Source organism: Homo sapiens, chromosome 1, assembly GCF_000001405.40.
Source record: "Homo sapiens chromosome 1, GRCh38.p14 Primary Assembly".
Classification (NCBI taxonomy): Eukaryota; Metazoa; Chordata; class Mammalia; order Primates; family Hominidae; genus Homo; species Homo sapiens.
The window spans coordinates 228,736,599-228,749,719 of record NC_000001.11 but is presented as its reverse complement, the minus strand read 5'-3'; the positions used below and the strand labels follow the sequence as shown (position 1 = coordinate 228,749,719).

The 13,121-nt window shown below is 43.7% G+C and overlaps 1 protein-coding gene across 2 annotated transcripts in view; it reads right to left on the bottom strand.

The window, feature by feature from the left end:
* Positions 1-3,050: 3,050 nt before the first annotated feature.
* The window catches only part of RHOU (ras homolog family member U), a 102,023-nt gene continuing 91,952 nt past the window's right edge, over positions 3,051-13,121 (bottom strand). The window contains exons 2-3 of one of the 2 annotated variants that reach the window (NR_037962.1): positions 11,989-12,047; positions 3,051-6,435 (exon numbers count right to left, since the gene is read on the bottom strand). Coding sequence is in view for 1 of the 2 variants with exons in the window: in NM_021205.6 (NP_067028.1) it covers positions 5,980-6,435; positions 11,989-12,047 (515 nt within the window). In the remaining variant the exon portion in view is untranslated. The remainder of the gene's footprint in view (positions 6,436-11,988; positions 12,048-13,121) is intronic. The other variant, NM_021205.6, reaches the window with a different exon arrangement.

The following is a 13,121-nucleotide window of genomic DNA, read 5'->3' as shown; positions in this document are numbered from 1 at the left end:
ACTATTTCAATTGATATTGCTGTGGTTGGTGACACTTTAGATATATCAGTTCTAAGTTCCTATTGAGTATCTCTTAGTGGAGATACTTGAGCAGATTCAAAATAGAATTCTGACTCAGCCAGCTGGGTCTGGTATAGTCTAAGTCCATGACAAACTGGAGCGCAAAGAGTGGTCAATCTTTCTGATTTTCATGGCAAAATCAGTTCTTATATTTACTCCTGAAGCACATGAATTGTTTTCGCAACAGCCACTTAAAATACTGGTACTTGTCTTAAAGTGAAACCCTGAACCAGCTATTATCCAGCAACTGTCAAATAGTGATCAATGCAAGTGATATTTCCAAAAGCTTGTGTACTAAGGGATATACTAGAATGTCTAAGTTCTGTTTGTGCTTTAAGTTTGGACTATAAGAATACACCCAAAACAGCATGCTTGGACTGTAAGAATACATGCCCTCATGGGAATGTTTTCCAAAGTGACAATCAGCATATGCCACATTGATGTTATACCTCTTGTTGTTGGATTGAGAGGAAATGCTAGAAGTTGCTATATGGGGGATGTTTCTCCACCTTGTGCAAAGCCAGTTAAAAATGTAAAATATTCACATCAACATTTTTGGTACCCAAATTCAAGGGAAGAAAGCCAATTCCCCTCTAGAGCCTCCAGAAAGCAACACAGCCCTGCCAACCCCTTGGTTTTAGCCCAATGAGACCCATGTCAGATTTCTCACCTCCAGACCATAATGTAATAAATCTGTGTTGCTTTAAGCCACTTACAGCAGCTGAAGGAAGCTAATACAATGAGTTAAGTTTGAAGTACCTGTGGGACATTTAGGAGGAAAGCAACAAAGGGCAATGGGATCTTCTGCTCCAGAATGTGTTTCCTTTTTAAAGTTAAATATTGGGTTCCCAACCACATGCATCTTTCATGTGCAAGCTATGCCTCTTCAAGACTTGGTTTTACTATTAGTATTGCACATTGTACCAGATAACAGGGGAAACTGTGGTTGGGTGACTCGGGTTGTTAAATGATGACTGTAAAACTGTAAGAATGTGCCAGTCCGCAGCAAAAGCTTCTTGCACGACAAGAGTCAAGGGACAGCCCAGCATAAGGCTGGGGAACACAGCAGATCCATGACTTCCACATGATGCCTGGGTTGCAACCTTGCCTACTGACTCCCTAAACTACCTTTGTACACCAAATTCAGACTTCCCTGCTTCACCATCTGCAGGATTCACTTGTCATTTTTCAGAGAGGTGGCCCACCCCCTACAGTTCCACCAGGTCAGCAGCAGCAGCCGCGGCAGCTTTGTTCCACAGAGCCAGCCTGTGCAACAAGGAGTGTGATCTATATAATGTTGCTCTGATTTTATAAAAATGAGTGGAAATGAAAAAAAATGAATGTGGTGTTATCCATTAAAAGTGTAAGCCTCATAAAATTTAATAGAAATGAAGATGGAAACCCTTAGGAGTCAATTGTCATCTCAGTGGGATGCCCACAGGGACCTGAGCTGATGGACTGAGGGTCCTGCTGTGAAGGAAATTAAAGGAATCATTGAAAGGGGTCTACTAGGAAGACCATGCAGAGTGAGCATTTACTGAGTGCTTACTGTGTACTAGCACTTTACATCCATAACCTCATTTGATCAGAGGATGAAAGCATCAGCTGATTGGGTAGGTGCCATGCTTATCCACCTGGGAGGTTAGAAAGTTGTTTGGACTCAGAAGGCTTAAAAGGTTAAGTAGCTTAAGGAATCAGAACCAGTAAGTGGCAGAGCCAGAATTCAAGCCCAAGCAGCCTGACTCCTCCCCATGTCCCTGGTTGCCACCATCACCTCCCATTATCACCATCCTGACATCATCTCCCTATCTCTCTCTGCACTCCTTTTATCTTGTTCAGACTGGCCTCTGGGACATACCAGATGCCCTTCTGCCTTGGGGCCTTTGAACCTTCTTTCTTTTTAGAACACTTTTCTCCCAGATGCTTCTCATTCCTTCCCTCCCTTTGAATCCATAAATGTCTCAGTGAATCACATGGTCACCTCTCCTACAGTGGCTGGATGCGCTTTCCATGTGTCCCAGGAAGGCCCAGCCAGGACACGGGAGACAGACTGGGACTGGGTGTGGAGAAACCTTTGAGTCCCTCTGGGCTGGGGTCAGCTGCCCTGTGGAGGCCGGGAAACCAGTGCCTGGGGTGCTTTTGGCACTCCCCAGTCATGTGTGGAATTAGGTGGTACAGTAGTTTCACTTGCATGCCATGCAGTCTTCCCATTCATTGTGGCTGAACATCTGGTGGGTACTCATAAAAATTATATCATGGCCTATGCAGTGCCATGTGGAGCAAAGTGGATGGCTCCATCCTTCACAGGATGACCTTGAGGCTGGAGGGTGAAAGCAAGAAGACTTCCAGCCCCTCAGAATAGTCGTCTCCCCAGGGTCCCATTTCCCGGAGCCCTCAGTAAAAGGGCTGCATCCTCACGGCATGATGGGAAAACCGACTGACTTCAAGAACCTGAAGAAATCACACAGAACACAACAGCACCTCTCCGCACCCTCAGGACCTGGGAACCCTGGTCCTCAGCTCTACAGCTGGTAAGGGCTCATGGTGCCTTTGACTCTAACCTCTTTCATGGTGATTTACAGATCTTGGATGTCTCCTCTGCATGTTCAGGATTCAGATAGCCTGATGAGAAAGGCAGTACTGTTTCCAGATGAGGAAACCAAGGCTCAGATCGCTGGCTGTCTCAGCTTCATCTCACACTAGTGCTTCTCTGAGCCCAGACTTTTGGCTCCAAGAACAGTGCTCCCTCCAACACACTGGGACATCAGCACACAGTCTGTGAGGAACATGTAGTCGGCGGGTGCTTATTGTCAGACTGTGGCTCCAGAATTCAGAAAACCCCATGCTGAATGAATAAGCACTTCAAATTGGTTGGAGATGCATTCCCAAAACACCTCTCAGGGTAAGCCACGATGCTTCCCAACTAGTGCTGCTTCAAGATGTGGCTAAACACCTCCAACAAAATTCTCAGATAGAAAAGGCAAGAGCCATTATATTCATAAGTCAGAATTTATTTCATACCATCTCACTTATAGCATTTTCAAGTACAACATTCTGCTCAACATCATTTACACTTGAAAACAGAAAAGCACAACTTGGTAAGGCACCAGGTTACGATAGTCTGGAGAGAAGGCCTTGCTCCCATTTTGGCTTGTGTAATACCTGGGTAGTTTCTCTTGAGTCTGTCAAGCAGAGAACAAGGTTATAAAAGGTCCATTTATACATACATGGTAACAAGAGATAACAAACAGTTTTGAAGTATGCTGTATTTATAAATTATAATGGTGGCCTACACTTGTAGTTCAGCCAAAGTGGCATTCTCTAAAGCAAAATTCTTATAAAATCTTCTCTGCAATACCAAGCTGCAAGTTTAACAATTTTTTAGCTTTGAAGTGAACCAACTTTATATTTAACTCAAACACATACTTTAAAAACATTTTCGGCCCCAAACTCTATGTTCACGAAGAAATAAAAATGGAGGAAAATCTCAAGTATAATCGTACCTTTACTATTCTATAAAATGCAGCAATATATTTTAAAAACTGTTGCATTTAAAGGTCAACCCACTAGATTTTTAACACTAACAGTCCAAGGTGTTATCAACCCCACTTAAAATTCAACTGTATAAAGCTTTCAGAACTGGGCCACACAGGTGTACTTCACTGAGCACTTTCCACCCATGGCCTAAAGGCAGGAGGTGTGGAAGTCCCCTCCAGGGAGACCAACTGCAGCCCCATACACTGTCACACGCATAAAACTTCTTTCAAGTTTTGTGTTCTATCTTAAAAATGAATTTGCACTATACTCCATGCCATTTACTTTAATATAAAAATAGTGTTTCAAATCGCTTACCAGTTAAATAACTCATCTTCCCTCCCACACCTCCAGGCACCAGACAGGCAGAGCCCAGCCTGGGAAGCCTAGCTTTCCACAGATAGGTAAGCCAGGCGCGGCAAGATGAGACTGTATTCAGTTAGGTCTATTTTAAGCATTTCCACAAATCATTTTATTCCTTCAGGTTGTAACTAAATGCTTCAGGAAACTATGACCGACATCAATTCCAATGTGTTGAATAATCAATCAGTCTATGTATTTTAGTGGTTTAAAGATTAATCTTTTGTTAAACAAAGAAATTTGTTAATTTTATTTACTAACAGGAATAAATAGAACCCCTAACCTAAAGTATAACCTGATCTTTTACTTTTTCTATAGAAAAACACAAACTGGATTTCTTTTTAACATAAAAAAGACAACACAAAACCCACAGAAAAATAAAATTCTTCTATCTAACTGGCTTTACAGATTTCCCTCATTAGTTGTGGATGTGACTTTGGTGGCTCTGGGTCACCCACCGCAAGCCCGACCCTGCAACTGAGTGTTCAGGCTGCCTTGTGGTGTCTCGGAAGCATTCCTACCAGAGTAAAAGCTATTCTCCTGAGATGGCACCTTTTTCTCCAGAAGATTCAGCCCTAACAGCTGCCACCTTGAAGGATGTATTTCACTGTCACAGGAAGCAGCCAAGTATGGGGGCCATGGTCCCGGCATGCACCTGGCTGGCTACACGCCCCGCCCCTCAGGAGTCCTCAGAGTCCACTGGCCTCTGCTGCTACTGCCCTGAAAGCCATCTGTGGCTTTAACTGGTTGTTTTAACAGGTTTCAAGAGATGTTCATTTTATTTTTTGTTTAGATTTAAGATGTCCTAAAAAATGTATATATTAAGATACACTTAAAAACATACTCTGAATATAATAAAAAAGATGTTGGTTCAAAAAAGGGTCAACAAGAAGAGGAAGCCAAGCTTCCTAGCATCTGTTTTTGTGGCCACGCTTTTCCCCATTAATGGTGTGAAAGTCTGAATCAACAGCAAATACAGCCATACAGACCTATGTATCTGTGTGCATGAGTGTGCATGGGTGTGCACACAGAGAAGTACATCTTGGCCGACTTAAGAAAAAATTATCTGTGTTGTGTCCCACAAACACTTGCTGTTGGCCTTTCAAGAGTATTCACCTCCCTGCCGAAGAGACAGCTTGAGTATGGAGGTTTAAAAACAATCCAGACAGGTGCTCCCTGTTGCCCTCGTTACCTAGGATTGAGGCAGTTTGGTGCACGTATTACAGTACCGAAAGCAAATGTCACTTTCTGATCTCCACAGGAACCACTCCCTAAAACATGAAACTACTGACCAACACTTGCTTTCCTCCGCATAGCACTTTGTCTGTGTTCATATGTGTCAACACAACTGGACTAAGAAAGAAAAGTCCCAATAAGGAAGTTTCCTTTTTTGACTACAGAGTGCCATACAGTCAGTGGGATGTTTTCTGTTGGTTGTTTTTAAATCATAAGTAACTGGGTATTAGCAATTGACAAAAGTGACTGGTTTGAGGTTTTGTAGGCAGAGGTCTCTCACTTTTTTTCTCAGATTTTTGCTCCTTAAAAAAAAGGCATGGTTTGCATGGAGTTTCAAAGCTAAGAACTATTGTTACCATGGTTGACCTGTGTACATAATGCACTGTGCATTAAGTAGCCCTTAATCAAGAGAGGGTTAACCATAGTGTTCCTCCCTTTTGCTCTTCTGTACATTATAATGTAGCAGAACTTCATTCTTAACATCCAGATTAGAGGTGTCTTCTTCATATTAGATATAAATTAACCAGAGGTCTAGAACTCTAAATTTCCAGAGATGTGAAAAATGTTTAATTTACTTCAAAAATATCTTGCATAAGTATCTCATCCCTAAGCTCAAACAAACAAGAAAATTAAAGGCAGAAAGAATACATAAAATTGAGAGCTCCTCCTATAATACATATACACACACTCTCGATATAGGTTCTACGCAGTAAAAGGAGTTGTTTCAGCTAATATAGCTTCTAATATCGATTTCATCTGAAAATAGCCTTTCTGGGTGTCTTGCCAGCATCATACGAAACAGCAGTACTTCTTCCACCAGGACTTGGAGAGGTTTTTCATTTTATCTGGAGTCCTGCTTTTAGACTTCTTTGGCTGTTGCTGAGTGTCCGAGTATTGAATGCCAGCGACGATGGCTGCATCAAAGACCTCTTTGAGGTTTTTTTGAGTCAAGGCTGAACACTCGATGTAGGAGGCGGCTTTGATTTCCTCGGCGCACAGCTTAGCCGCCTCTTCAGGCACTGGCTTTTCTTTGCATTTGTCCAACTCAATGAGGACTTTGACATCTTCTCTGAGATCCGACTGCGTTCCAACTAGGATGATGGGGGCTTTGGGACAGTGGCATCGAATCTCCGGCACCCATTTCTCACTGACGTTCTGGAAGGATGAGGGGCTCACGACACTGAAGCAGAGCAGGAAGATGTCTGTGTTGGTGTAGCAGAGAGGCCTCAGCTTGTCAAATTCATCCTGCAACCAAGCAAAGTACCCAAAAGTTATGTTTTCATGAATTCTCATCAGTAAAAAGATCACCTTCACATTTTTCATGAAAGGGTCTGGCAGGTGATAGAAGACCCGCTGGTTCTAGAAGGAAGAGCCAGCATCCTTGAAACGATCCTACTGTTTACCCAAGCGGGGCCAGTGCACCAGCGAAGGTGTGGCAGCCATCTGCTTTCAGGGCCAGCTATGGTCTGAACACTGCCAAACATGTTCAACGTGTTCATCGACACTCAAGACCTACTTACAGCTTAACATAGAAAAAGTGCTCAAAGTAGGTGGGTTCTAGAAATAAAATGGACTTAAGCCTTCAGCTGAGTGTAACCCAAACCTACTCTCAACTCTTGGTACTTAGCTACTCTTCTAAAATTCAGACCACACCCATATTGATCCTCAAGACTCCCACTCAAACCCAGTCTACGAACACAGCTCCTCTCTTTATCAATCCAGCCCTGCCTTTCCCAACAGCTCTGAGTGATGCCAATTTCATCCCATCTGCACTGTGCACACGCTCTGCCCACACTATGCACAGCAACGCAGAGTAATGCTAATCAGACTCAAGGCCAGACCAGAAATGGAGTTGAGGACCTTTGTCAGTCCATTGTCATCGTGACTCAGAAAACTTTTGCAGCTCAGTGCCACTTACAGACACTAGTTAATACATCCTCATTCTGGCTGTATCTTCTCTTCCTCCCTCCTTCCTTCATTTTCTCCTACTTCCTTTATCCTTGCCAGTACCCATGGCCTCCATGTACAGTGCTTTGGACAGATAAGAACTGGAGAATAGGCACGCCCACCCTACCCTTAAAGTATAGAGAAGTGGATAGAATAAGTTAGAGTTGATTACAAATAAACCAACGGTTGTGCTGCCAATGCTCTCCCGTGGTCATCCATTTAACAGACACACTGAACATCACCTACACTCAAGGCACAGTGGCAGGCGAGGGGATTTGGCTGTGAACAGACAGATGTTGTTCTCCAAATTACCATTTCTTTACAGAAAACATCCTATAGTTCCCTGTAGCACCATATTCAGCTAACTGACAACTTTTGCTCAACTCTTTTGTAGAAAAATATTTACTCTTTCCTATGTAAAATGTATATCTGTTGGTGCCAACCATCCTCAGGTATAAATAATTTCCCAATGACAAGAAAAAGTTCAACGCCATTCATGTTTTTCATTACTCAATTGACACACTCCGATTATTTACCAAGTACCATTTACATCACATTATACTCCATCCGTGGCTTTTTTCTCTTGGTATAAAAGAAACCTGTAACTTATTTGAATGTACTTTCTTCATTTGAGGCCCCATGTTTCAATTACGGGACGACAGCCAACCAACTAATCACATTAAAGTCAACCAGCTAAAATGCTCAGCAATCAATGTGGTATTTCAGAATGTCACTTGTGAGGCTTCTGTAAGCGAAAGTTGAAAAAGTATGACTTAGCCAAATGTGGTGGCACGTGCCTATAGTCACAGTTACTTGGGAAGCTGAGGCAGGGGGATCACTTGAGCCCTGGAGTTTGAGACCAGCCTGGGTGACATACCAAGACCCTGCTCTCTAAAAAAAATTTTTAAAAAGAAAAATAATGACTTAAGTTTCTTCATGCCAACTTTGTGATGAATAAATAAACACAGAAACACAGCCAGGTAGACTATGGCTCAGTCATGAAGATCTTTTAATGGAATGCTCCCTCTGTTCTTAGAGGGCCTCAAAGAAAGAAGCATAAAACTGAGACCAGTATTAAGGCAGCCCCCTCAGGTAGCTGCACCCCTGGCCATGCCCTGGTATCTGGGGTTGCATTACTGAGAAAAATAAAGGCAAGCACAAGGGCTGGGACTTCTGAGGGGGCTTTGGAAAGCTATCTCCCCAGATCTCTTGAGATTCTGGCTAAGGGGCTTGAGAAATAAAACAGAAATTAGACCCTCCTGCTCAGTGCCTGACCTGAAATCTTAGAAATAATGCAATACACACGTGCAATGAGGACAACTGGAATGCACCCTTAAGAAAAGGCGTTCTGAGGCCAAGCAATTTGCATGTGCTTGCCAGGTCTGTGGTACGGACACTGCACAGAAGTCTGATCAGGGTTGGCGGGGCAGAGAGACGAGACTGGATTCTACATCCCTCTGGTCTAGCTGCAACTTGATTTTTTTTTTTCAGTATAAGATTTTTCCAAGTACTTTATGGGTCAAAAGGCTGAAGAATTTTCAGCTTCTATTGGCAACTCTCCAGTGAACTACTCCTATTTCCGCAATACTTTTTTCTCTTATGCCAAAGGTATGTTTTTTCAAGCCTCCAGTCTGTCTCTGATCAATCTGCCCTTGAGTGATGTAAGACCAGTGTTAAAAACTCCTTTTGACATCTTATAGACTCGCCTACCCTCCCTAACAAGAAAAGCCAAAGTACAAGAAGTGATTTCTTCAGCATGTAGAGCCATCCATACTCTGCTCCCATCAACTTCTGTGGGAAACCCACACTCCAGCTCCACATCCCCAAGTTCTAGCCTATCTGTGCTCACGTTGATTCTCCAGGCATCTGAAGTGGAGGTCAGTGGAGTCACTTAACCCTCAAGGCTCTTATGTCAACTGCCTAGAAGAGGTATGTGTTCCTTCCTCCATAAGGAAACTTGGCAGGTATCACAGCAAGTCCCTTAAAATGTATTTTATCAGATCAGGACTAGGGAGAGTAGAAAAGAACTGCCACTTTGACCAGCTTGGCTAGTAGTCTAAACAAAGACTAATTTATAAATGGGGGATCAGGAAAACAAAAACAGAACAACTGACTTATCTTACCAGCAGCTTATTTTTCATAGTTTTTGAAGATGGTTCTTCTTCAAAAGTTTTGAAGTTGGTTCTAAAAGTCTACAAATTTTTAGATAGTGGTCTTATTCATTATTTAATTGGGTATACTCTTCTAACCAGTACACAAAGGTTAAGAAATACAGTAAATCTCATTGAAAATATTGCTAAGAGGCCAGAAGAATAATTTTCAAATAAACTGAAACTTACAAATGTAGCACCAAAACCTTCGTTTTTCCCTAATTATAAACTTTTTTGTGCAAAAATACTACTAAAGTGATGCTTGTGCTTCCCTGATTTTTAAACAGGAACAATTTAACTCTTCCTTGATGATTCAGTCATTTATGCAAAGTTCTTCTGGTAAAATTCCTATTTGTCTTTCAAAACTCTGCTCAGAGGTTTTCCTGCCAGGCCCAACCAGCCTGCACCTCTAAGCCCGAACCTCTTTTCTTCCCTTTGCTTGCTCCTTCACGAGCTTCCATTTGTCTTCCCTCCACACTGTAAGTCTATTAAGGGGCAGGCCCACAACTTATGTTTATACCCCCACCACCTGGTCCTTCTCTGGTTCATCCATTCTAAAACCACGAGATTAAGCCCTGCTATGTGCCAGGCACTATGCTGGGCACTGGGCATGAAACCCCAGCTCAAGAAGCTGCATCCTGCTTGAAGAGCCAACACTTACGGGGAGCCCAGTGGACAGTGATATTTGAGTGACATCCTGGGGCAGGTAGGTGCACTGAGCTTCTGCTCCAGCCCGTAAGGCTCCCTGCTAACTGTGCCTTTGGACTTCCTGTATTTTCCTGACTTCCATCTTATCCTCAGGGTCTGACTTCAGCAGGTCCGATGGCTATGTTTACTGACATGTTCCTCTGCCTGTGTTTTATTTTTTTTGAGATGGAATCTCTCTCTGTCAACCAGGCTGCAGGGCAGTGACGCGATCTCAGCCCACTGCAACCTCCGCCTCCCAGGTTCAAGCAACTGTCTGCCTCAGGCTCCTGAGTAGCTGCTATTACAGGCGCCCGGCACCACACCCAGCTAATTTTTGTATTTTTAGTAGAGACGGGGTTTCACCATCTTGGCCAGGCTGGTCTTGAACTCCTGACCTCATGATCCACCCGTCTCAGCCTCCCAAAGTGCTGGGATTACAGGCGTGAGCAACCGCGCCTGGCTGGCCATGTTTTAAAACTCAGAAAACCTGACCCCCTGGTAGACAAAGCATCCTCACTTCATACAAGGAAATGAAGCTTGAATTATAAATATCACCATTGCATTCAGAAAGATTCAGTGCTAGAAGTGACTGTATTCTTTGATTTTTCTTTTTTTTTACCCCCAAGAGATGGGATCTTGCTCTGTCGCCCAGGCTGGAGTGCAGTGGCACCATCATAGCTCACTACAGCCTCAAACTCCTGGGTTCAAGCGATCCTCTCACCTCAGCCTCCTGAGTGGCTGGTGGCTGGGACTACAGACAGTGCCACCACACCAGGCTAATTTTTTTATTTTGTAGAGATGATGTCTTGCTATGCTACCCAGGCTGGTCTCAAATTCCTGGCCTCATGCAATCCTCCCACCTCAGCCTCCCAAAGAGCATGAGCCACCACACCCAGCCTGATTTTTGTTTTCTACAGACAATACAATACGGACAGTGCTTGGTTTTTCCAAGCTGAAGTGCTCCCAAGCTATGGCCTGCACCAGCCCGGTGTTCCTTGGAGATCAAGGCTCCACGGTCTTATGTCATCTTCAGGTTTAAAAAATAAGATCTGTCCTTAGCTCTGAATCTGCTGTCCCAGAGTAGGTGAGCAACTTGGAAGCTCTGGCGTAGATGAGGCTCTGGGGGGCAGTGGAAAGCCAGTGCCTTCATAAACACAGATAGTCATGTGATGGCACCTCAGAAAGTGAAGGGGGCACTTTCACCTGCCTACAAAGTACCCCCGGAACTTTGCTGAACTCTAGAACATACTAGAGAGACAAGTTCATTAACTATCACTTTGCCAAAATCAAGTACCCCTGGGTGTTCACAAGGCACAGCCTGACTTCAATGACTCGAGTACCCACCAATGGGGGCTTCTTCTGGGGAACACAAAGAGGGAACCCTACACTCCCTGGCTATTTCCTCCAAGGGCCCAGCCCTCGAGACAAGAACCAGCGTTCACAGTTTGGATAGAATAAGCCCAGTTAGTTCATCCCTCCAGCTTAGGACTGCTCTGACAAATGTATCTGTGCTTCAAGTGATGGGGCTGGTCCTAGCGAGTCAAACCATAGCTCAGGAAGGGAAATATTAACCCTTACTGATGTAAATTCCATCTTTTTCTTGAGCAAATTTCTTCAATATCTGACTCACTGGCCTTTAATAAAACGATTATAAGACATCACTAACTTAGTTTGGGAAATGATGACAAAGCATCACTGAAATTTTTTCATAAAAACCAGGGAGTAAGTAATAGAAACTCCTACAAGAGCTGTTCTTGACACTGCTTCCTCCCTTGCCTGGTTACGCAGAGCTGGGCCAAACCCTGCTTTATTAGTTTGGAGGTATCTTCCTCTGCTTCCTGCCGGCCAATAACCTGGCCCCTGCCCACCCTCAGAGAAGGGCCAACAGCAGGGGTGGGTCCACTTCATGAGGCTTTAGAATGACCCAGTTACTGACTGAGGGAATCAAAGGTTATTTGGAAATCTTTAAAAGGCTGTTTCCTTTCCCAGCACTGAGCTGTAACGTGATACTGACCTGTCCGGCAGTGTCACAGAGTTGGAGTCTCACGGGCCGCCCATCCACAGACACCACCGCTTAAAAACAAAACCAAAATGACAATCAGGAGGTGTCTTTTAACCCCTTTCGGAATACTAATAGTTTTAGCTTTCACTATCATTCTCACTCCAAACCCCTTTGCTCCTATTTTAGGTCCTCTAATGAATTAAAGACTAGCCAAAAACAAGGAGGCCCTGTGGAGGCATTTTTGTATACAAACCCACGGCTGGCAAGTCACTCCATTACCGTGAACCAGGCAGCAAATCCCTGAACGCTTTGATGGTGACCCTAAAAAGGCCTATGCTTTTCTCCCAGTCCTGGAAGATTTATTTTCCTGTCACACTTGTTTCAAAGGACCTAAAAACAACACTGGGGGTAAATGGGAAGCAACCCTGCAGTTTTAAATCAGTGGAAAACCTCACAAATAATTCTGTTTTCCCTTGGGAAAGGTTCCCCAACTTCAGGGTTTATCATACAATTCTAGTGTGTTTTGAGAACATGTGCAAACACAGGCTGCCCGCATTGTCCTGTTTAAGAAATGAGGGCACTCCTTATCTCTATGTCAGGTCAAAAGGAGGATTAAAAAAGAAAAAAGAAAGCCATGGCCCCCTTTCCACTGGGATCCGGGGACTCGGGGAGTGTGGAGAGGCCTGCAGCAGGACATGTTGTGGAGGTTTCTATTTTAATTAAGCAGTCAGTTTTGTCTCTTTCTACACAACTTTCTAATTGTTTCTAAATATTTATACTAGTCAGCTGCAGGGGTGGGGTGGGGGGAGGGGAAGAAACAATACCCTGCGGTGGGAACCCACCAGTACAGCACCCATTTCTCTAAGGTACCTTTGGGATGAAAGGAAGGTCAGAGAAGCAATTTTTTTTTAAAGAAGCAAGACAGTTAAGTGTTTCATACTAGTTTCTGTGAATTTTAACTTTTTCTTAAATTTCAAAAAGACCTGAATAGCAAGATAGAGAATTCCTTTCTCTTTGTATCTACCAAGGGAAATGGCATCGCACCCGGTACATAGGAGCTTTAAGTAGCTTAAAGGGATCCTGAAAAGATACCAACAATCAGAATCCGAGCCCATGTGGGCAGGGAAGGTGGTGGGGCTCAGAAG